This window comes from Homo sapiens, chromosome 17 (genome assembly GCF_000001405.40).
Source record: "Homo sapiens chromosome 17, GRCh38.p14 Primary Assembly".
NCBI lineage: Eukaryota > Metazoa > Chordata > Mammalia > Primates > Hominidae > Homo > Homo sapiens.
In genome coordinates this window covers 28553297-28577067 of record NC_000017.11, presented here as the reverse complement: position 1 = coordinate 28577067, position 23771 = coordinate 28553297, and the positions used below count along the sequence as shown (strand labels likewise).

The window sequence follows — 23771 nt, the reverse complement described above, 5'->3', positions numbered from 1 at the left end:
AGTCCCTAACAGCCACGGATGCCTGGCGGGGCGCTCACTCCACCTCGCCGCCCCGCCTCTGAGGGCGTGGTCTTGCCCCGGACACCAGTCCTGGGGAGGGGGTGTGGTCAGGGCGGGGCATGCAGGCCACGCCCCCGGAGGAGTCACGTAGCTCTGCGACATCCGCAGCCTCATTTACCAGAGGGAGCCAGGGCTGCAGCCTCATCTGTTTGCGGATCAGAACCCGAGCTGTGCTTGTGGCTGCGGCTGCTAACTGGCTGCGCACAGGTAAGGCCAGGCAAGGCGGGAGCCACTCAACATCTCCGCTTCATTTCCTTGGCTCTTCCCCTGCCATCCTCGTCCTGCTACCTGGGACTCCGGGATGTGCCCTTTCGACCCTTTCCTAACATCTTTGCTCCTTTCCGCGTACTTGAAACCCCATGGCTCAACCTCTTCTGTTCTATCCCTCTTCAGCTCTCCCAGCTGGACCTCAGCTTTTCCAATCCCAAATCCTCCTCTACTTGTTGGATTTTTCCTTGGAGTCTGTCTCTCCTACCCAGAGCATTTCCTTCTCAGCCTGCTCCCTCTCCTCCTAGGCTAGGTCCTCTCTCCAGTTCTCCCGCCTTCTCTGCCCCCCGGTCTAGGTCTCTCCCGCTGACTGGTTAGCCTGCATCACCACTAGCTCCCCTCAGTCTCATCTCTCTCTCAGGCTCTCTACTCCTTTCAGCCTTGGTCCTCTGCCCTCCCGTCTGGGTGTCTGAGTTGTGGGGAATTGAAGTGCTTCCTATTGCTATCCTCCTGCCAAACAGGTGAAGTGCTTCCTGGGCACAGAGATGACCCGGAGGTGTCACTAGCCCTAGTCTCCACACACTAACACAGCTGACCCGCTGGGCCCTCTTTCCTACATCACTGCAGCCCCACTGGGGCCAACCTCTGGTACTGGGTGGGAATAGGCAATAGGCATAGGCAGGCAGGTTTGGAGTACAGAAAAGGAGAAGCTGCAGGAGCCTGTGACTGGTATTTGTGCCACTCCTACTCCCTACCTGTTCTTCCAACCTTTTCCTCTAGAAGCTGAGAGAAGAGGGTGGCAATAAGTACTTTTGCCTCATTCTGAAGCCTTGGAAGTAAGTACACTTTCCCTAGGGGTCCTGTGGAGGATGAGAAAAGGGAAGCTGGAAAGGCCAGGACTTTTGCCTACCTCAACAAGGGACCAAGTTCAGTGAAAGAAGGGTTGGCATCCTTGATTGGGCAGCAGATTTATCAGAAGAGCTGTGGCTTCAGGGCTGCTCACCTCCCCACCCCCACCCTGCATCTTTCCCCAGGGCTGGGAAGGATGCCTACCAGGGACAAAAGGAGATGTGGGAACTGGAGCCCTAAGCTTGCTAGCTGTCAGAAGGACTGGTGCCACTTGATGCCCAGGACTCATGCCAAGGACTGCTGCCCTGTTCCCAGCCCCTTGCTTGATGGGGAGGCCATTTGGCCCATCTGGCCAGGAGAGGCAGCAGAGGGTGAGGTCTGGCTTTTTTATCTTGTCTCCACTCCAGGGAGCTGTCACCATGCCTCACTCGTACCCAGCCCTTTCTGCTGAGCAGAAGAAGGAGTTGTCTGACATTGCCCTGCGGATTGTAGCCCCGGGCAAAGGCATTCTGGCTGCGGATGAGTCTGTAGGTAAGTGGACATCTGTAGCCAGGTAGGGTACAGGTGGCTAGGGGACCCTGGGGATGTTCTCACTGCCTCTCTTTGTTTGCCCCTAGGCAGCATGGCCAAGCGGCTGAGCCAAATTGGGGTGGAAAACACAGAGGAGAACCGCCGGCTGTACCGCCAGGTCCTGTTCAGTGCTGATGACCGTGTGAAAAAGTGCATTGGAGGCGTCATTTTCTTCCATGAGACCCTCTACCAGAAAGATGATAATGGTGTTCCCTTCGTCCGAACCATCCAGGATAAGGGCATCGTCGTGGGCATCAAGGTGCAGCCCCTGGCCCTGCTCTGAATGGAAGCTGGGTGTGAAAATAAGCTTGTGTAGGAGGGGTAGCAAGGAGAATCCTGCCTGGATTCAACCCTCTGCTTGTACTTCCTCTACAGGTTGACAAGGGTGTGGTGCCTCTAGCTGGGACTGATGGAGAAACCACCACTCAAGGTATAGGATGGGTGGGCTTGAGGACCAAAGAGGTGTTAGATAGTTGATGCTGGTAAAAGAGGGGCAGAGTAATGAGGTTGGCACTGTGCTTGCAGGGCTGGATGGGCTCTCAGAACGCTGTGCCCAATACAAGAAGGATGGTGCTGACTTTGCCAAGTGGCGCTGTGTGCTGAAAATCAGTGAGCGTACACCCTCTGCACTTGCCATTCTGGAGAACGCCAACGTGCTGGCCCGTTATGCCAGTATCTGCCAGCAGGTGTGTGTGTTGGGAGGGTGGTGAGCTAGGTGCCCTGTATGCCTGGTGGGGAGAGAGTCACAAGGCTTTCTTCATCTCCCCTACTGCCCCTCCCAAGCATCTCTGCTCTTGCCTGCAGAATGGCATTGTGCCTATTGTGGAACCTGAAATATTGCCTGATGGAGACCACGACCTCAAACGTTGTCAGTATGTTACAGAGAAGGTGAGTCCACACCTGGGCACACAAACATACTGCAGGGACAGCTCGGCAGGAGTGTCTGTTCCCCAGAACCCCCAGCTTAGATCCAGGCACACTTTCCCCTAGCACTTTTTCACTTCATCCCGGCACAGGCCTGTGATCTGAGCCTGTACTGAGCCCTCACAGTCTGTGCCCATCTACCCCTACATAGGGAGCATCGAGCAGTAACCAGTGGGGGCCCAGACCCTTAGTAAACCTCCTCTAATCCCCACCCAGGTCTTGGCTGCTGTGTACAAGGCCCTGAGTGACCATCATGTATACCTGGAGGGGACCCTGCTCAAGCCCAACATGGTGACCCCGGGCCATGCCTGTCCCATCAAGTATACCCCAGAGGAGATTGCCATGGCAACTGTCACTGCCCTGCGTCGCACTGTGCCCCCAGCTGTCCCAGGTACTACCCAGCTCCCTAACCTGCTCCTATCCCTAAGGCCCATCTTCAGGTCCTTCTTGTGGCCTTCAGGGGTTCCCTATCCTGGAAAAATTGGGAGTGACCAGTCAGTTTGTCTTCTCTCCTCCACACTAGGAGTGACCTTCCTGTCTGGGGGTCAGAGCGAAGAAGAGGCATCATTCAACCTCAATGCCATCAACCGCTGCCCCCTTCCCCGACCCTGGGCGCTTACCTTCTCCTATGGGCGTGCCCTGCAAGCCTCTGCACTCAATGCCTGGCGAGGGCAACGGGACAATGCTGGGGCTGCCACTGAGGAGTTCATCAAGCGGGCTGAGGTTGGGAGCTACAGGTGGTGGTGGGTGGGGGCAGCACCCAGAGGCTATAGCCTGGGCAGGGCTTGGCACCTGTGGGCTGGCTCAGCCTGCTTACTCCACGCTCCCTTTTGCAGGTGAATGGGCTTGCAGCCCAGGGCAAGTATGAAGGCAGTGGAGAAGATGGTGGAGCAGCAGCACAGTCACTCTACATTGCCAACCATGCCTACTGAGTATCCACTCCATACCACAGCCCTTGGCCCAGCCATCTGCACCCACTTTTGCTTGTAGTCATGGCCAGGGCCAAATAGCTATGCAGAGCAGAGATGCCTTCACCTGGCACCAACTTGTCTTCCTTTCTCTCTTCCCTTCCCCTCTCTCATTGCTGCACCTGGGACCATAGGATGGGAGGATAGGGAGCCCCTCATGACTGAGGGCAGAAGAAATTGCTAGAAGTCAGAACAGGATGGCTGGGTCTCCCCCTACCTCTTCCAGCTCCCACAATTTTCCCATGATGAGGTAGCTTCTCCCTGGGCTCTCCTTCTTGCCTGCCCTGTCTCCTGGGATCAGAGGGTAGTACAGAAGCCCTGACTCATGCCTTGAGTACATACCATACAGCAAATAAATGGTAGCAAAACATTCTACTTTGCCTGTCTGTTTTACACATCAAATTCCCACCTCCCAGTTTCTGATCTCTGCTAATTCTATCTCTGGGCCCTCTGACTCTGGAGGTGGAGAGGGTGGGATTTGAGTCTTACTGGGCTTCAAGTTATGGAGGAAGGGCACATGCAGTCACCATCCCCAGCTCAGGCTCTTGCTCTCTTGATGTCCAAGTCTGGAGTGGGGCAATGAGGAAGACTGCAAGTCTTCTAGGGACTGCCACATCAGTGGCACTGGGCTGCAGCTACAGAAGTATGGAGTGAGGCCAAACTGGCAACTCCTGAAGGCAGATTTGTGCAAGGCTCAAAGCAGGGAGGCAGCAAGACAGGCTGGGATAAGAGTGGGTGGGAGTCTCTCCCATCTCGCAGTGTTAAGCCCAGCTGGGACCTGGTACCTTCCACTAGGGTGAGCCACACCAGTAAGGGCAAGCGAGCACCTGGACTCCCGCCCAAAGAGGAAAACCAAGGCTCTGCGGGCTGCCAGGGCTGAGCAGGGCATCTAGGAGGTTGCCAAGGGCTATGGCCCATTTTCATTTGGGGTAGAAGTGGGCACAAAGGGAGCCAATTGGAGGGTCTGGGTAAGGACAGCTCTGGTGAGGCCTGATGCTGAACTTTAACCACTGGGCTGGGTTGTGAGGTAGGCTGAGAACCTGGGTCTAAGCAGATAAAAAGAAGAGATAACAAGCTGCGTGTGTTCTGTGTCAACTGGGGAGGCTACAAATGCTCCACCCTGTGTGGCCTGACTTTATAATAACAAAAATAGCTTGCACATAGCACCAACCCTGTTCTAATCACTTTATATGTACTGACACATTTCATACAACTCTATAAAGTAGGTACTATTACTATCATCCCTATTTTAATAGAGAAAACAGGCACAGATAGGCACAGAACGATCTTCTCACGATCACTCACCTAATAAGTGATGAAGCCAGGATTTGAACCGCAGTGATCAGCATCTAGAGTCTGGGCTCATGACTTTTCAAGATTTTTAAGTGAAGTATTCTGAGTTTTCCAAGTTGGAAATGAATTAAAACGTATTTTAAAATAGCGAGAGAGCCAATTGTGCTAAAACATACTAGCTTGCTACCTCCGTGTTTGAGGCTTTGAGGAGAGGGCACCCTAAGAGGAGTTCTACGATAAGGATAATAAGACCGTGACAGTTGACGTTGAGGGCTTTCCGTGTGCCAGGCTCCTTACAAGAACGGCCTCATTTATGTAAATATCTCCATTTTCAGATGAGCCTCGGAGCTGCCTGTAGTTGCCCAGCTAGTATTTAAGGACTGCAGAGGTTGCGCTCTTGATTGCGGGGCTAGAAGTGTGTTCTACAGGGAAGCGGGGAACTTCGTTCCAGCAGCGCCGAAACCCGCACGGCCCCTAGGCTGTCCCTCCGCGCCCGGGTGACTTCCTTTCAGATCCCCAGCGAAGCTCCCAGCGGAGCCCTCCCACCCCTCGCCCGCTTGCTCCCGTCTGCGGGTCTGGAGTAGCGCTCGCGATTGGCCCCGATCACCGCCGCGGTCCTGCCCCCTCGTTGCAGAGATTCCGATTGGGTGAGGCTCACGAAGCTCTGCCCCCACGGTGGCCGGAGCAGCCGGAAGCTAGCATGGCGGCCGCCGGGGCTGCGGCTACACACCTAGGTGCGGTGGGCTTCGGGTGGGGGGCCTGCAGCTAGCTGATGGCAAGGGAGGAATAGCAGGGGTGGGGATTGTGGTGTGCGAGAGGTCCCGCGGACGGGGGGCTCGGGGGTCTCTTCAGACGAGATTCCCTTCAGGCTTGGGCCGGGTCCCTTCGCACGGAGATCCCAATGAACGCGGGCCCCTGGAGGCCGGTGGTTGGGGCTTCTCCGCGTCGGGGATGGGGCCGGTACCCTAGCCCGTTTCCAGCGCCTCAGTCGGTTCCCCATGCCCTCAGAGGTGGCCCGGGGCAAGCGCGCCGCCCTCTTCTTCGCTGCGGTGGCCATCGTGCTGGGGCTACCGCTCTGGTGGAAGACCACGGAGACCTACCGGGCCTCGTTGCCTTACTCCCAGATCAGTGGCCTGAATGCCCTTCAGGTGAGACTGCTGTGCGGGAGGGTCGGGGGACAGCCCCCCCGGCAAGGTGGAGACTCAGTGACGGCCCTGATGCTCCTTCCTGTAGCTCCGCCTCATGGTGCCTGTCACTGTCGTGTTTACGCGGGAGTCAGTGCCCCTGGACGACCAGGAGAAGCTGCCCTTCACCGTTGTGCATGAAAGAGAGATTCCTCTGAAATGTGAGTTACTGGGGATCAGGGCTGCTTTTCGCCTCTGAGCTCAGTTCAGAGCTGAGTTGGGTGGGAGGAGCGGGGGTGTACCATAAACGCAGTTAAAAACTTACTGTTGAAAGACCTCTGAATGAACAGTGTGTTTGGTCAGAAAAAAACTACTTTCAAATTCACAGTCACTAAATAGCAATTTTACTCGTAAGACAGGCTACCTAATCGGAAGCAGTTGATGCCCATCAGGGTATAGGGGAAGAGGTGGGATATAGTGGAAAGAACACAGAGTTTGAAATTAAATTGGATTTGCATATAGGCCCTATTTAGTTTGTTTGTTTATTTATTTATTATATTTTGAGACGGAGCTTCGCTCTGTCGCCCAGGCTGGAGTGCAGTGGCGCCATCTTGGCTCACTGCAACCTCTGCCTCCTGGGTTCAAGCGATTCTTCTGCACCAGCCACCCGAGTAGCTGGGATTACAGGCGCGCGACACTACGCCCAGCTAATTTTTGTATTTTTAGTAGAGACGGGGTTATGCCATGTTGGCCATGCTGCTCTCGAACTCCTGACTTCAGGTGATCCGCATGCCTCAGCCTCCCAAAGTGTTGGGATTACAGGCGTGAGCCACCGCGCCCAGCCCCTATTCAGTTTAACATTAAACACTTTACTGGGGTACTTTTTTTTAGGTACCAAGAATTTAGGAATGAATAAGAAATTGATAATGGTTTCAAGATGTTCATAGGTAGGGGAGAAAGATAAAATAAATTACAGTAGAAGTATACAAGAAACAGAGATTGCACTTAGTAAAGAGTATTAACCATCTGGGAGGAAAGAAAGGCAGAGAAAGTTTTGAGAGATGTAATTCTTAAGTCGGATTTTTAAAGGATGTGTAGGAATTCAGGTTAAGTGGGAAAAGGAGGGAGAGAATTTCAGGCAAAGTTAATAGCATGAGACAGTATAAGGATAGCTGATAGTTGTTGCTCGCTGTGTGCCAGAAACTAGGTGAAGCATTTTATATGTGTTGCCTCATTTAATCCTTTCTAATGATATGATCCCCATTTTATAAATGAAGAAACTGAGCCTTAGAGAATTTAACTTGTGCAAGGTCACACAGCTAGTAAGAGATGGAACTGGGATTTAAATCCAGGCCTGACTGATTCCAGTGTTCAAGCTTTTAACCAACAAACTATACTCCTGTGTGAAAGTGTGGCGGGGTGAATCAGCATATTGGGGGACCTATGAGCAGTTTTGCCTTACTGGAATGTGTAGTGAAAGACTGGGAATGACTGGAGATTTGGGCTGAGTCTAGAGCATGAGGCATCTGTGTGCCATTTACTTTTTTAGTTCTTTAGCCTTGGTGAAAACTTTTCTTTTCTTTTTTTTTTTTTTTTTTGAGAAAGGGTCTCTCTTTGTTGCCCAGGCTGGAGTATGGTGGCACGATCAGGGCCCACTGCAGCCTTGACCTATTGGGCTCAAGCGATCCTCCCATCTCAGCCCACCTGCCTTAATAGCTGGGACTACAGCCGCACACCATCACACCCAGCTGATTTGTTTTGGTATTTTTAGTAGAGATAGGGTTTCGCCATGTTGCCCAGGCTGGTCTCGAGCTCCTGGGCTCAAGTGATCAGCCTCCCAAAGTGCTGGGATTACAAGTGTGAGCCACCGCACCCGGCTGGTTAAAACATTTTTTTAAAAAAATGATATTTCGTATGGTTCAGCCTCTGTACACACACAAACTTCTGGTTTTCTTTCTTTTTTTTTTTTTTTTTTGAGATGGAGTTTCGCTCTTGTTGCCCAGGCTGGAGCGCAATGGCACGATTTTGGCTCACTGCAACCTCTGCCTCCTGGGTTCAAACGATTCTTCTGGCTCAGCCTCTGAAGTAGCTGGGATTACAGGCGCCTGCCACCACGCCCAGCTAATTTTTTGCATTTTTAGTAGATACGGGGTTTCACCATGTTGGCTAGGCTGGTCTCAAACTCCTGACCTCCAGTGATCCACCAGCCTCGGCCTCCCAAAGTGCTGGGATTACAGGCGTGAGCCACCATGCCCAGCCAAACTTCTTGTTTTCTAAACAAAAATTGGACTATCCCTCACAAGTTAGTTTGAAATTTGATTGTTTTCAGTTTATCATGGATTTCTTCATATTTGATAACACAGTGTTCAGTAATATGGGTATACTGTAAACGTATAGTATAGGCAACACGTATAAAGGGTGACCAAGAGTATAGAATCTGGGATCAGAGAGCTGGAATTCAAGCCTTATTCTGCCACTTATTTGTGTAAATTTGAGTAAGGTTGTTAACTTCTCTAAACCTTGGTTTCCTCATCTGTTAGACGGAAATAGTAATAGCGTTGTTCATTTATTCAACAAGTATTTACTTTGTAGCTATGTCAGATACAGTTCTAGTTACTAGAGATATAGCAGTGAACAAAACAGACAAGAAGAAGACAATAAAAAAGACAAAGCTGGATGTGGTAGCTCACACCTGTAATCCCAGCACTTTGGGAGGCCGAGGCAGGCAGATCACTTGAGATCAGGAGTTTGAGACCAGCCCGGCTAACATGGTGAAACCCCATCTCTACTAAAAATACAAAAATTAGCCGGGCGTGGTGGCGGGCGCCTGTAATCCCAGCTACTTGGGAGGCTGAGGCAGGAGAATCGCTTGAACCTGTGAGGTGGAAGTTGCAGTGAGCCAAGATCCCACCACTGCACTCCAGCCTGGGTGACAAAGACTCCATCTCAAAAAAAAAAAGAAAAAAAGACAAGTAAGTCAAATGTATGTTAGATGGTGACAGAAGAAAAATAGAGCAGGACAGGAGGAGAGGGAATTTTCTTGAGGAATGGGAGGGGATTGCAGTTTTAGATAGGGTGGACAAGGGAGGTCTCATTGAAAAGAGGACATTCGAGTAAATACCTAAAAGGCGAGGGAATAGACTGTGCAGATATCTGGGGGAAGAGCATCTTGGCAGAGGGAAAAGCATGTCTAAGGTCCCGAGTTAAGAGCAAGTGTTGTACCTTTCAGGAGCAGTGAGAATCTCCTTGTGGCTTCACTGGAGTGAATGAGGAAGAGAGAAAGAGGAAATGAAATAAAACCAGAACAGTAGAAGGGGGCTGAATCACTTAGGGCCTGGTAGATCACTGTGAGAATTTGCATTCTAGGCTTTTATTCTAGATAAGAAGGGAAGCCATTGAAGGTTTTTTGTTTCTTTTTTTAAACATGACTACCATTGTCACACCTAACTAAGTTAGCAGTGATTCCTTAATATCACCTAATTCTCAGTCTGTATTTAGATCTCTCCAGTTATCTCCAAGGTATCCTTTCACAGATGGTTTATTCCATCAGGATCAATAAGTTGCATTTGTCTTTTTGTCACTTTTATTTTATGTCAGCTCCCCCCACCCTACCCCCATACATTTCTTTCACACCATTGATTTGTTGGAGAAACCAGGTCATTTGTTTTATAGAACATCTCACATTTGGGATTTGGCGAGTAGCTTCCTCACAGTTTAATTTAACTCATTCCTCTAGCATCCATATTCCTTATAAACTGGGAGTTAGATCTAGTGGTTTGATTAAAGCCAGGTTCAATTTTTTGGATGAGAATACATTGTAGGTGGTGCAGTGTACTTCCTATTGTGTTGTATCCTGAAGCACTTAATGGCTAGTTGTTCCATTTTGGGTGATGCAAAGATTATGTAGTGAGTTCAGGTATTGTCAGCCTGATCTCTATATTTTAGAGTTTCTCATCAACCTTTTACATATTTTTAGCATCTATTTGATCATGGAATCCATTTCATTAGCAGTCACAAGATAATGCTTTTTTTAATTTTTATTTTTTTTAGAGACAGGGTCTCACTCTGTCACCCAGACTGCTGTGCAGTGGCTCAATCATAGCTTACTGCAGCCTTGAAATCCTAGGCTCAATCAGACCTCCCACCTCAGCCTCCCAAGTAGGTAGGACTACTGGTGTGTGGCCAGGCACAGTGGCTCACGCCTGTAATCCCAGAACTTTGGGAGGCCAAGGCGGTGGATCATTTGAGGTCAGGAGTTTCAGACCAGCCTGGGCAATGTAGTGAAACCCCTTCTCCACTAAACATACACAAATTCGCTGGGTGTGGTGGTGTGTGCCTGTAGTCCCAGCTACTCTGGAGTCCAAGACAGGAGAATTGCTTGAACCTAGGAGGCAGAGGTTTCATTGAGCCAAGATTGTGCCACTGCATTCCAGCCTGGGAGACAGAACGAGACTCTGTCTCAAAAAAAAAAAAAAAAAAGTAGGCTGGGCGCGGTGGCTCACGCCTGTAATCCCAGCACTTTGGGAGGCTGAGGCGGGTAAATCACTTAAGGTCAGGAGTTCAAGACCAGCCTGCTCAACATGGGAAAACCCTGTCTCTACTAAAAATACAAAAATTAGCTGGGTGTGGTGGCACATGCCTGTAATCCCAGCTACTTGGAAGGCTGAGGTAGGAGAATTGCTTGAAATGGGGAGGCGGATGTTGCAGTGAGCCGGGATCCCACTGTTATTCTCCAGTCTGGGCAACAGAGCCAGATTCCATCTCAAAAAAAAACCCAAAAAAACAAAAAAAAAAAAAAAAAGAAAAGAAAAAGTAGACAAGGGGTCCTTTTTTTTTTTTTTTTTTTGAGATAGGGTCTGACACTCAGGCTGAAGTGCAGTGGCCCAATCATAGCTCACTGTAACCTTGAACTCCTGGGTTCAAGTGGTCCTCTTACCTCAAGCTCTCAAGCTCCCAAGTAGCTGAGACTACAAGAATGTGCCACTGTGCCCAGCTAATTTTTTATTTATTTTATTTAATTTGTTTATTTATTTATTTATTTTGAGACAGAGTCTCACTCTGTCACCCAGGCTGGAGTGCAGTGGCGCAATCTCAGCTCACTGCATCGTCCGCCTCCCGGGTTCAAGTGATTCTCCTGCCTCAGCCTCCTGAGTAGCTAGGACTACAAGTGCACAGACACCATGCCTGGCTAATTTTTGTAATTTTAGTAGAAACGGGGTTTCACCATGGTGGCCAGGCTGGTCTTGAACTCCTGGCCTCGAGCAGTCCGCCTGTCTTGGCCTCCTAAAGTGCTGGGATTACAAGCGTGAGCCAGTGCACCTGGCCCCAGCTAGTTTTTAAATTTTTTGTAGAGACGGGGTCTCACTGTGTTCCCCGAGCTGGTCTCAAACTCCTAGGCTTAAGCAATCTTCCCACCTCGGACCCTAAAGTGCTGGAATTACAGGCATCAGCCACCACACCTGGCCAAATTAGTGACTTTTACAATTCTGTCATTTCTTCTTTCTGGAAGAAATGTATGACCTGGAATTCTTTTATAAAGAAAAGAGGAACTTTTTCAATAAATTTTAGGTTTAGCTTGTCAAGTTTCAGGAGGCAAAAAAAATCCCTTCAGGATTGCCTTACATGTATATATTAATTTGGGGAGAGTTGACATCTTTATAATAGTCTTTATAATATGACATCTTTATAATATTCATCTAGGGGCCTTGTATGCTATTCCATTTTGTTCAGATATTTTATGTCCTTCAGTAAAGTCTTGAAGTTTTCTTCTTATAGTTTTATACATTTATTCCTGGGTATTTTTATACTTTATTGTTAATGTGATTGAGGTTTTAAAAGATGTTTCTAATTGGATATTGCTGGTATTTATGCGGGTATTGATTCTTGCATATCCTTGTATCTAGTCATCTTATTGAACTGTTGCTAGTTCTAATAGTTTTTCAGTTGGTTCTCTGATTTTCTTGAGAAATAATTATGCTACTTCAAAGTGGCCATTTTATCTGTTTCTTTCCAATACTTTTAAGTTTTCTTTCTCTTTCTTCACATATTACATTGGTCAAGAACTTTAGAAAGAACAATACTGAATAACAATGAGAATAGAGGAGATAGCAGGCATCCTTGTTTTATTACTAACTTTACAGAATTATGTTTAATATTTTGTCATTAAGTGTGTGGTTTTTATTTTTTATTTTTTTGAGACAAGGTCTGGTTCTATTACCCTGGCTGGAGTGCAGTGGTGCCATCTCAGGTCACTGCAACCTCTGCCTCTCAGGCTCAAGTCATCCTCCCACCTCAACCTCCCAAGTAGTTGGGACTACAGGTGTGCACCACCATAACTGCCTTTTTTTTTTTTTTTTTGAGATGGAGTTTCGCTCTTGTTGCCCAGGCTGGAGTGCAATGGTGTGATCTCGGCTCACTGCAGCCTCCGCCTTCTGGGTTCAAGTGATTCTCTTGCCTGAGCTTCCCGAGTAGCTGGGATTACAGGCGCCTGCCACCACACCCAGCTAATTTTTTGTATTTTTGGTAGAGATGGGGTTTCATCACGTTGGCCAGGCTGGTCTCAAACTCCTGACCTCAGGTGATCCACCCGCCTTGGCCTCCCAAAGTGCTGGGATTACAGGTGTGAGCCACCATGTCTGGCACATACCTGGCTAATTTTTGTATTTTTTGTAGAGTTGGGGTTTCATCATGTTGTCCAGGCTAATCTCCAACTCATGAGATCAAGGGATCCGCCTGCCTTGGCCTCCCAAATTGCTGGGATTACAAGCATGAGCCACCGTGCCCAGCCTGTGTATTTTGTTTTTTATCAGGAACATTCACTGAATTTAATTATTTTGGGGCAGTGATTGGAATGACCATACAGTTTTTCTCCTTTTGCCTATTAATGTAATGACTATTGAAATAGATTTCCCAGTGGGAAGACGTTTCACGCTGAAGGACCAGTGTGTGCAGAGGTGAAGGCAAGAGCTGCGGCAGATGGGCGAAATGGGTGTCATGTGTTTGATATCATCTATGCAGAAATCATTAGAGTTGGCTGCAGCTGCTTGGTCTTTTTCTGTAAACAGCCATCTTGCTGTCCTCAGATGCTGGACAGTGTTAGGTCTGGGAAGGTGGGCAGAGGCATGATGCTTGCCCTTTTCATTGTGCTACTTCTTATCCCTCCCAGACAAAATGAAAATCAAATGCCGTTTCCAGAAGGCCTATCGGAGGGCTTTGGACCATGAGGAGGAGGCCCTGTCATCGGGCAGTGTGCAAGGTATGGGAAGGGATGAGCACACCATTTTAATGTGAAGCCCTCTTTTTCCTTCTGATCTCTAAGTGCATAGTTCCCATGCTTTGGCTTACTTCCAAAACCTCTCTTGGAATGCTGGGAATGAGGAACTGTGGGATTCAGCCCAGTCCACTGAGGGCCAGAGAGGTTGATTGGCTTACCCAAGCCTGACCACTGTGTCAGCTGAATGTGAGTGAAGGGGTGGGTTAGGCATTCTTTGGGGCTGGGGGGAGATGGAATGGTGTTTTGCTCTTGGTGTACCACCTGTTCTTGCCCCCAGAGGCAGAAGCCATGTTAGATGAGCCTCAGGAACAAGCGGAGGGCTCCCTGACTGTGTACGTGATATCTGAACACTCCTCACTTCTTCCCCAGGTAAGGTAACAGAGAGGCTGCGACTTTGCCTTATCCCTTCAGCTCGTGGACTCCTGGGTCACCTCCTTCTTGCATCATTGCTACCCATTTCTTCCATTTGCTACAGAAAACTCTCCAAAAAAAAATTTTTTTTTTTTTGAGACGGAGTCTTGCTCTGTTGCCTAGGCTGGAGTACAGTGGCGGGATCTCGGCTCACTGCAGCCTCCGCCTCCCGGGTTCAAGTGATTCTCCTGCCTCAACCTCCTGAATACCTGGGATTACAGGCATGTGCCATGTAATGTATTTTTAGTAGAAATGGGGTTTCACCACGTTGGTCAGGCTGGTCTCGAACTCCTGACCTTGTGATCTACCTGCCTTGGCCCCCCAGAGTGCTGAGATTACAGGCGTGAGCCACCGCACCCGTCCTCCACATATTTTTAATAAAGAATGCTGGCTGGGTCTGGTGGCTCACACTGTAATCCCAGCACTTTGGGAGGCCGAGGCGGGCAGTTTGCTTGAACTCAGGGGTTCAAGACCAGCCTGGGCAACATGGCAAAACCCCATCTCTACAAAAAATAAAAAAAATTAGCTGGATGTGGTAGTCCCTGTTACTTTTGGAGGCTGAGGCAGGGGGAGCGCTTGAGCCTGGGAGGTGGAGGTTGCAGTGAGCTAATATCATGCCATTGCACTCCCCATCTCTACTAACAATACAAGAATCGGCCGGGTGCGGTGGCACATGCCTGTAATCCCAGCACTTTGGGAGGCCGAGGCAGGCGGATCACTTGAGGTCAGGAGTTTGAGACCAGCCTGGTCAACATGGTGAAACCCCATTTCTACTAAAAATACAAAAATTAGCCGGGCGTGGTGGTGGGTGCCTGTAGTCCCAGCTACTCGAGAGGCTGAGGCAGGAGAATCACTTGAACCCAGGAGGTGGAGGTTGCAATGAGCCAAGATAGTGCCACTGCACTCCAGCCTGGGCGACAGAGTGAGACTCTGTCTCAAAAAGAAAATTTATAATCAAATATTTAATTTTTATAAAAGCACTAAAGAAAATGTTAATGAACGTCCCCATCCCCACCCCCAGCTCACAAACTGCAGTGCAGTAGCACGGTGTGTACTTCCATGGTTATACTCCATTCCCTTTTGGCCCAAGGCAACCAGATTTTGTGTTTGTAATTTTCTTGCTTTTCCTTAGAGTTTGATCACATATGCTGTATCTCTGTAAACAATGTATTTAATTTTACATTTTTGAATTTATATAAATGGTGGCTTATAACACATGTTCCTCTGCCACTTTTATTTTATTCCCTTCATGTGGCAGAGCCTGGTGAGAGAATCATCCATAATTATGTAGTTGAATCTATGTATCATTGTATAAACATAAACATAATTTACCCATTCTATTGCTAATGGACATTTGGATTATTTCTAGGTTTTACTGTTAGAAATAATGCTATTATGAATACTTGTTTCTTTGCCATGTGCCATTTTTATATCAGACTCTCCAGTTGTCTGTTTATTCCGCTTTTCTTGCTCAGCATGCCATCTCTGAGTTTCCATTTCACCATTTTACCAGCCCCTGAAGAGTTAGATGCTGCCTGGACCCATGTCAACTGGGAAAAAGAAGAGAACGGAGACAAATGAAAATACTCAATATATACTCATAGCTCAGAAATGCTGAGTTAATAGCTCATGAATCTCAAGAGAGGTGCAAACCTGTTGGTCATTGGCAAAGGGGCAGATTCGGAACAGTAGGAGCCAGGGTGCTTTTTGGCTTTCTTTTCTGAGCCATGGGCATTCTGTCTCTTGCTCACCCCCACAGGACATGATGAGCTACATTGGGCCCAAGAGGACAGCAGTGGTGCGGGGGATAATGCACCGGGAGGCCTTTAACATCATTGGCCGCCGCATAGTCCAGGTGGCCCAGGCCATGTCTTTGACTGAGGATGTGCTTGCTGCTGCTCTGGCTGACCACCTTCCAGAGGACAAGTGGAGCGCTGAGAAGAGGCGGCCTCTCAAGTCCAGCTTGGGTAGGGCACCAGGCTCTGCCACATGAAGGGAGAGGAAATGAATTACATGGGGCAGGAGGGAAATCTGCATGCCAACTTCTTTCTCCTTTCTTCTCTAGTCTCAATTTTTTTCTTATTTATTTTATGTTATTATTATTATTATTATTTTTTTTAGTTATTTATTTTGAGACGGAGTCTCACTCTGTTGCCTGGGCTGAGTGCAGTGGCACTATCTCGGCTCACTGCAAGCTCCGCCTCCCGGGTTCACGCCATTCTCCTGCCTCAGCCTCCCAAGTAGCTGGGACCACAGGTGCCCGCCACCACTCCTGGCTAATTTTTTTGTATTTTTAGTAGAGACGGGGTTTCACTGTGTTAGCCAGGATGGTCTCGATCTCCTGACCTCGTGATCTGCCCGCCTCGGCTTCCCAAAGTGCTGGGATTACAAGTGTGAGCCACCACACCTGGCCTATTTATTTTATTTTATTTTTTGAGACAGAGTCTTGCTCTGTTGCCCAGACTGGAGTGCAGTGGCGTGATCTTGGCTCACCACAACCTCTGCTTCCCACGTTCAAGTGATTCTCACTCCTCAGTTTCCTGAGTAGGATTACAGGTGCATGCCACCATGTCTGGCTAATTCTTGTATTTTTATTTTTATTTTATTTTTTTTTGAGACGGAGCCTCCTGTCGTCCAGGCTGGAGTGCAGTGACGTGATCTTGTCTCACTGCAACCTCCGCATCCCAGGTTCAAGCGATTCCCCTGCCCCAGCCTCCTGAATAGTTGGGATTACAGGCGCCCACCACCATGCCTAGCTAATTTTTGTATTTTTAGTAGAGACGGGGTTTCACCATGTTGACCAGGCTGGTCTTGAAATCCCAACCTCAAATGATCTGCCTGCCTCGGCCTCCCAAAGTGCTGGGATTACAGCGTGAGCCACCACACCCGGCCGATATTTGTATTTTCAGTAGAGATGGGGTTTCTCCATGATGGCCAGGCTGGTCTTGAAGTGCTGGCCTCAAGTGATCCGTCTGCCTCAGTCTCCCAAAGTGCTGGGATTACAGACATGAGCCACAGCGCCCGGCAGCTTTTTCTTACTCAGTGTTCCTCATCCCAGTTTTGTCCTCCTTTTGGTTCCATGATGGAAAGCAGCCCCATTCCAGAGGAGAAACAAGTTCAGCTCAGCTGGGAGTACAGGCTGCCCCTCTTCTTTGATCCACAAGAGCCTCTGACTTCCCTGACTCCTGTTTCTGTAGGCTATGAGATCACCTTCAGTTTACTCAACCCAGACCCCAAGTCCCATGATGTCTACTGGGACATTGAGGGGGCTGTCCGGCGCTATGTGCAACCTTTCCTGAATGCCCTCGGTGCCGCTGGCAACTTCTCTGTGGACTCTCAGGTGAGACCGGGAGCAAGTTGAGGAGTCCTTTTCAATGTCTATACATATTTACAAGTGCAGTCTGTTCCTCCATCTCTTAGAGCTTGCTGATTTGCTAGGAATTTCCTGTGTGTATATGTATGTGAGTGTCATAAGGGTGGGTACTGGGGGTGCGTGTGTGCCCTTGTCTGTGTCCATCCATCCATTGAGGGCAGATTCTGGTGTCTTTACTTCCTTGGCATCCTATTGAGAGAGTTTGTCAGTGCTTGTTAACAAACCACCTTCCTATAGCTCCCTCTAGACCTGTACTCACCAATTGTGCTTAGATGTTAATGCCATGACCCATCTTTTTTTTTTTTTTTTTTTTTTTGAGACAGAGTCTTGTTCTATTACCAGGCTGGAGTGCAGTGGTGTGATCCCAGCTCACTGCAACCTCCGCCTCCCAGGTTCAAGCGATTCTCCTGACTCAGCCTCCTGAGTAGCTGGGATTACAGGTGCGTGCCACCATGCCCAGCTGATTTTTGTATTTTAGTAGAGACGGGTTTTCACCACATTGGCCAGGATGGTCTTGATCTTTGCCCAGCTGATTTTTGTATTTTAGTAGAGATGGGGTTTCACCACGTTGGCCAGGATGGTCTCGATCTTTTGACCTCGTGATCCACCTGCCTTGGCCTCCCAAAGTGCTGGGATTACAGGTGTGAGTGATGGAGCCCAGCAGAGCCATTCTTAAGGAATTTAGTTTTTAGAAAAATGCTTCCTGAAATTTGTTATTGTAGTAACAATAAAGATGTGAAGGGCCAGGTGCGGCGGCTCACGCCTGTAATCCCAGCACTTTGGGAGGCTGAGGCAGGCGGATCACGAGGTTAGGAGATCAAGACCATCCTGGCCAACATGGTGAAACCCCATCTCTACAAAGATAAAAATTAGCTGGGCATGGTGGCGCGTACCTTTAGTCCCAGCTACTCGGGAGGCTGAGGCAGGAGAATTGCTTGAACCCGGGAGGTGGAGTTTGCAGTGAGCCAAGATTGTGCCACTGCACTCCAGCCTGGCAACAGAGTGAGACTCCATCTCAAAAAAAAAAGATGTGAAGAATGTAGCTTTCTGTATCACGCTGTCTCCTTGTAGGGAAAACACGTGGGAGAAATTTTTATCAGGTCTTCCTAGTGGGAGTAATTGCTTCTGAATAACTGGCTTGATTTGATCTTGTAGACACTGAATTATGCTGTTCTTTGTTTCTCTCTTTGTGTAGACTGTTAGGAAACCTGGTAAAATACGTGATTTTTAAAGCACGTATTTAGTTTATTCAGTTTACCCTTGGCTTTGCTATTTTCTTCTGCAATTATTTTCTCTCAGCCCTGATTTTGTCTCTTATATGTTGCCTTGTCCTGATTGTGTCTTTTTTAAGGCACCTCAAATCTTTTTTGGGAGAAAGTAGAATATAAATCTAAACAAAGTAACCACTCCCTGTTTGCTCTACAGATTCTTTACTATGCAATGTTGGGGGTGAATCCCCGCTTTGACTCAGCTTCCTCCAGCTACTATTTGGACATGCACAGCCTCCCCCATGTCATCAACCCAGTGGAGTCCCGGCTGGGTGAGCACCTAAGGATGAGGGTCTTTCTTTTCTGCCAGGCTAGGGAGGGACCCTGACGGCTCAGCTGGGTAGGGGACAGGAGTTGGAGGTGGATTATATACAGTGATGGTTCCCAGGTTGGGTTGGTCCGAGGAGACTGTGGAGATTGAGGCTCCTTTTTTTCTTTTTTTGAGACAAGGCCTTGCTCTGTTGCCCAGTCTAAAGTGCAGTGGCACAGTCATAGCTCACTGCAGCCTCCAACTCCTGGACTCAAGTGGTCTTCCCACCTCAGCCTCTCGAGTAGCTAGAACTATAGGTATGTGCCACTACACTTGGCTAATTTTCAAAATTTTTTTTAGAGACAGGATCTCATTATGTTGCCCATGCTGGTCTTGAACTCCCCTCAAGTGATCTTCCCACCCCAGCCCCCTAAAATGCTGGGATTATAGGCGTGAGCCACTATGCCTGAGCCCTAGGTTCCTTTTTCATGATGCTCTGTTGATATCTCCATCTTCACACCTATCATATCCAAAAGCATTTATTAAACGTGATTCCTAGCACTTTTTACAAATGAATGACTAGGCTGGGTCTATCTCCCTAAAAGCCATCTAGGAGAGAGGCTGTCACACACATAGGAAAGACAACAGCAAAAGTACTTGAGGGCAGAATTTGAATTGACAGTTCTGCTGATTGAGGTTGAATAACCTTGAAGCTAGTATTAGAGTTTTTCATTTTTCGGGTGGAAACTAGGAAGAGGAGGTGTGACTAAGAACTGTAACACAGGCAAACCAAAGTGAGTATATCTAATTGTGGAATCTCAGATACCAGAGGCAGGCTAGTGTGGCCCAAGGATTGTGAGGGGGTGGCATGTGAGGCCTTAGAAAATTCCTCCGTTCATTTATTCATTCAGCAAACATTGACTGAGGGACTACCTTATGACAGTGCTGAGTAGAGAAAAGAAGGGCATTTCAGGCAAAGGGAACTGTGAGCTTAGATGCAGACAAGTGAGAGAGCTTAGGCATTCAGGAAGCTCAGAGTAGTTTAGTGTGGCTGAAATGTGAGTGAGTGACCAAAGATGAAGCCGGTTAGGCAGGCAGGAGCCAGGTCATAAAGGACCATGTTAAGGAGTTTGAACTTTAACCTGATATGGGTGGCTAGTGATTGAGGGATATTAAGCAGGGAACTGACATAAGGTCAGATTTCTGGTTTGCATAAAACTATCTGTAGTAATATGGGTACATTGTGGGAGTGGCCAAGAAAGCTGTCGTAGACAGTCAAGGGGCCTTTGAGGAGGGAGAATTCGGGGGTGTTTTGGAGCTAAGGACTATGTTTCCATCGGTATGGCACATCTCGGGAGAACATTCTGAAGCCCTTTACTAGAGACACCCTGGACAGGAGGATATCCTAATGATTGTTAGTTGGGGAATCAGTCCCAGAGTGAGTGACCAGCAAGTTAGAGGCCGACCTGGGACTAAGGTCCAGGTCCAGCATGTTTTGATATTCTGCTTTCCCTTTATACCACAGGATCCAGTGCTGCCTCCTTGTACCCTGTGCTCAACTTTCTACTCTACGTGCCTGAGCTTGCACACTCACCGCTGTACATTCAGGACAAGGATGGCGCTCCAGTGGCCACCAATGCCTTCCATAGTCCCCGCTGGGGTGGCATTATGGTAATAGTCACACTACGCAGACCCCAGAGCCCATGCTTCTGGGACAGGCAGGTGTCCCTGAAACTGTGTTCCTTCTGTTTTCCTTCTGGTGTCCTCCATGGCCCAGCCTGTGGGAGGGGCAGGCACCAGGAAGGTGAGGGTGCTATGTGCTCATGCCCCTCTTCTGCCGGCCCCACTTTTGTTTCCGCCAGTGTTTTCTATACTGTGACCCTTTGCCCTTACCTAGGATCATTCTGTGTCCATCTTAGATCTTCGCCTTATTTGTGGGAGTCTTGCAAGGTTGGGAGCCTTGTCTCCCTTGTTAGACTGGAAGTTTCTCATGGGGGAGAATTCTAAAATGGGATAAGAAAAAAATATGTTCTACAGGACTTTCAAGGGGGTAATTGGGATAATGTATTTAATGCTCTCCGTAGTAGGTACTCAAAAAATATTAGCTATACCATGAGGTTTATAGCTTCTAAAGAGCACAGAATATGTTTTCCTTTTCTCTCCAGAGTGCCTAGGGCAGAGCTGTGCAAGGGCCTGGTATGATGTTGTGGCAATCTCATTCCCCCTTTCAGGTATATAATGTTGACTCCAAAACCTATAATGCCTCAGTGCTGCCAGTGAGAGTCGAGGTGGACATGGTGCGAGTGATGGAGGTGTTCCTGGCACAGTTGCGGTGAGGTCCTGGATGATCCACTTGGGGACATAGTCTCCTTGGCTGTAGAGGGGAGTTGCAAAGTGGAATCAAGTCTTACCTGGCAGGGATATCTTGGCTGTGCCTAGAGCCCCAGGGAAACCAAGAAAAGTTTCTAAGGATCCCATCATCCTTCTAAGAAGGACTAGTAGGTGACAAAATCATTTATTTTTTTTTTTGAGACGGAGTCTTGCTCTGTTGCCCAGGCCGGAGTGCAGTGGTGCCATTTTGGCTCACTGCAACCTCCACCTCCCGGGTTCAAGCAATTCTCTGCCTCAGCCTCCCGAGTAGCTGGGACTACAGGTGCCCGCCACCACAACTGGCTAATTTTTTGTAATTTTAGTAGAAACGGGGTTTCACCATCTTGGCCAGGCTGGTCTTGAACTCCTGACCTCGTGATCCACCCGCTTAGGCCTCCCAAAGTGCTGGGATTACAGGCGTGAGCCACTGTGCCCAGCCAGCAAAACCAGTTTTAAGAAAAATAGACTCATGAATGTCAGGTCCATGGAGTGTGATTAGGGCTGCTTAAGAAAATAGCTGTTAATTCTTATGCTGCCTGATGGATTGAGAGTGGCTGCCTGAGGCTCTGTGTTGAGGATTCTAAGGCTGTATCTGGGCTCATTAGGAAAGAGTATTCTTCTGATTGACTAGCAGTGTCTCTCACGGATGCAGGCTTAGAGAAGCACAGCACATGTGCCTTGGCAAAGGCAGTCCTGGATCATCCCTTAATGCTAAGTCCCATTGGCCCCATTTGTTCAAAGAGAGGGTAGAAAAGGTGAAAGGATTAAACTGAGTTGGTGTTATCAGAAGTATTTTAGCCATGGAACCTTTTTTTAAAAAACAAGATCTTGGAAATCTAATGTAGAAACAGGTAAAAGCAGAAACACCTGTTGAAGCAGCGTTTGGGGCCAACTTGTTTGGTGTTGCCCCTTATGCCCCCAAGACCCTGAGGTACTTCCCTTTAACCCCTATGGTTCTGGGTAAGATTGAAAATCACTGGCTCAGGACAGATATTTGAGAAATCTTAGCCATGATCTCCCGCCTTGTGGTCTCAGCCACCTTGATCTTACTCCGATGTTCCTACAGGTTGCTCTTTGGGATTGCTCAGCCCCAGCTGCCTCCAAAATGCCTGCTTTCAGGGCCTACGAGTGAAGGGCTAATGACCTGGGAGCTAGACCGGCTGCTCTGGGCTCGGTCAGTGGAGAACCTGGCCACAGCCACCACCACCCTTACCTCCCTGGCGCAGCTTCTGGGCAAGATCAGCAACATTGTCATTAAGGACGACGTGGCATCTGAGGTAAGCAGGCAGGGGATGGATTCTGCAGCTTGGGACTGGAGTAGCCAGAGAGGGCCAGAGTGTGGTGAGACCAGAGAGCCTGTGAGGTCCATGGTATGTGTGGGCTTGCCATCTTTAGTGTCCCAGCCTTCCTCTAGACGGCAGTACCAGCCCCCAAGCAGGAGTGCAGATGAGAGTGCGAGGTTTCAAGCTGACCCTAGGAAAATAAACCATATCCCTGTAGAAAGACTTCCATAGATCCTGGATGAACTCCAGGCATCTTCCTTGGTAGATGGAAGGCACAGTAAGGCCCAGCACCCTTTCCACCAATGCCTAGGACTTACTGGTATACCCTCTTGTCCCTTCTCCTTCCTAGGTGTACAAGGCTGTAGCTGCCGTCCAGAAGTCGGCAGAAGAGTTGGCGTCTGGGCACCTGGCATCTGCCTTTGTCGCCAGCCAGGAAGCTGTGACATCCTCTGAGCTTGCCTTCTTTGACCCGTCACTCCTCCACCTCCTTTATTTCCCTGATGACCAGAAGTTTGCCATCTACATCCCACTCTTCCTGCCTATGGCTGTGCCCATCCTCCTGTCCCTGGTCAAGATCTTCCTGGAGACCCGCAAGTCCTGGAGAAAGCCTGAGAAGACAGACTGAGCAGGGCAGCACCTCCATAGGAAGCCTTCCTTTCTGGCCAAGGTGGGCGGTGTTAGATTGTGAGGCACGTACATGGGGCCTGCCGGAATGACTTAAATATTTGTCTCCAGTCTCCACTGTTGGCTCTCCAGCAACCAAAGTACAACACTCCAAGATGGGTTCATCTTTTCTTCCTTTCCCATTCACCTGGCTCAATCCTCCTCCACCACCAGGGGCCTCAAAAGGCACATCATCCGGGTCTCCTTATCTTGTTTGATAAGGCTGCTGCCTGTCTCCCTCTGTGGCAAGGACTGTTTGTTCTTTTGCCCCATTTCTCAACATAGCACACTTGTGCACTGAGAGGAGGGAGCATTATGGGAAAGTCCCTGCCTTCCACACCTCTCTCTAGTCCCTGTGGGACAGCCCTAGCCCCTGCTGTCATGAAGGGGCCAGGCATTGGTCACCTGTGGGACCTTCTCCCTCACTCCCCTCCCTCCTAGTTGGCTTTGTCTGTCAGGTGCAGTCTGGCGGGAGTCCAGGAGGCAGCAGCTCAGGACATGGTGCTGTGTGTGTGTGTGTGTGTGTGTGTGTGTGTGTGTGTCAGAGGTTCCAGAAAGTTCCAGATTTGGAATCAAACAGTCCTGAATTCAAATCCTTGTTTTTGCACTTATTGTCTGGAGAGCTTTGGATAAGGTATTGAATCTCTCTGAGCCTCAGTTTTTCATTTGTTCAAATGGCACTGATGATGTCTCCCTTACAAGATGGTTGTGAGGAGTAAATGTGATCAGCATGTAAAGTGTCTGGCGTGTAGTAGGCTCTTAATAAACACTGGCTGAATATGAATTGGAATGATACAAAGTCTGAGCTCTACTCTTTCTGCATTCACGCGTAAGTAACAGTTTCCTGGTGTTTGTCCTCCTGTGCCCACAGGTCCACTTTGCTTC

General features: G+C 48.8%; 2 protein-coding genes across 4 annotated transcripts, besides 5 other annotated features; both read left to right on the top strand.

Annotated features, from left to right (window-relative positions):
• Positions 1-240: a silencer, noted in NCBI's record as "silent region_8344". NCBI's record gives its function as "represses an Ori minimal core promoter by ATAC-STARR-seq in GM12878 lymphoblastoid cells {active_cell/tissue: GM12878}" and the evidence as "EXISTENCE:reporter gene assay evidence [ECO:0000049][PMID:35858748]".
• On the top strand, positions 173-3948 carry ALDOC (aldolase, fructose-bisphosphate C). 3 transcript variants are annotated; one of them, XM_011524556.3, is made up of 10 exons: positions 173-267; positions 1051-1103; positions 1524-1647; positions 1734-1945; positions 2062-2116; positions 2212-2372; positions 2491-2574; positions 2827-3001; positions 3134-3333; positions 3447-3948. In XM_011524556.3, exons 3-10 carry the CDS (start codon positions 1536-1538, stop codon positions 3540-3542), a joined length of 1095 nt encoding a protein of 364 aa, XP_011522858.1. In that variant the 5' UTR covers positions 173-267; positions 1051-1103; positions 1524-1535; the 3' UTR covers positions 3543-3948. The 3 variants fall into 3 exon arrangements, with proteins under 3 accessions (XP_011522858.1, XP_005258006.1, NP_005156.1); XM_005257949.3 differs by having other exon boundaries at positions 1048-1103; NM_005165.3 differs by lacking the exon at positions 1051-1103.
• Positions 5164-5213: an enhancer, noted in NCBI's record as "active region_11932". NCBI's record gives its function as "activates an Ori minimal core promoter by ATAC-STARR-seq in GM12878 lymphoblastoid cells {active_cell/tissue: GM12878}" and the evidence as "EXISTENCE:reporter gene assay evidence [ECO:0000049][PMID:35858748]".
• Positions 5544-23681, top strand: PIGS (phosphatidylinositol glycan anchor biosynthesis class S). Its single transcript, NM_033198.4, has 12 exons — positions 5544-5605; positions 5880-6019; positions 6105-6216; positions 13161-13250; positions 13546-13637; positions 15439-15646; positions 16877-17019; positions 18478-18592; positions 20096-20241; positions 20802-20902; positions 22007-22217; positions 22573-23681. The coding sequence occupies exons 1-12, from the start codon at positions 5572-5574 to the stop codon at positions 22846-22848; spliced, it is 1668 nt and encodes a 555-aa protein (NP_149975.1). The 5' UTR covers positions 5544-5571; the 3' UTR covers positions 22849-23681.
• Positions 5904-6023: an enhancer, noted in NCBI's record as "active region_11931". NCBI's record gives its function as "activates an Ori minimal core promoter by ATAC-STARR-seq in GM12878 lymphoblastoid cells {active_cell/tissue: GM12878}" and the evidence as "EXISTENCE:reporter gene assay evidence [ECO:0000049][PMID:35858748]".
• Positions 5904-6200: a biological region, named in NCBI's record as "ReSE screen-validated silencer GRCh37_chr17:26897886-26898082".
• Positions 6004-6200: a silencer, noted in NCBI's record as "fragment chr17:26897886-26898082 (GRCh37/hg19 assembly coordinates)". NCBI's record gives its function as "represses an EF-1alpha promoter that drives an FKBP-Casp9 reporter gene in an ReSE screen in HepG2 liver carcinoma cells {active_cell/tissue: HepG2}" and the evidence as "EXISTENCE:reporter gene assay evidence [ECO:0000049][PMID:32094911]".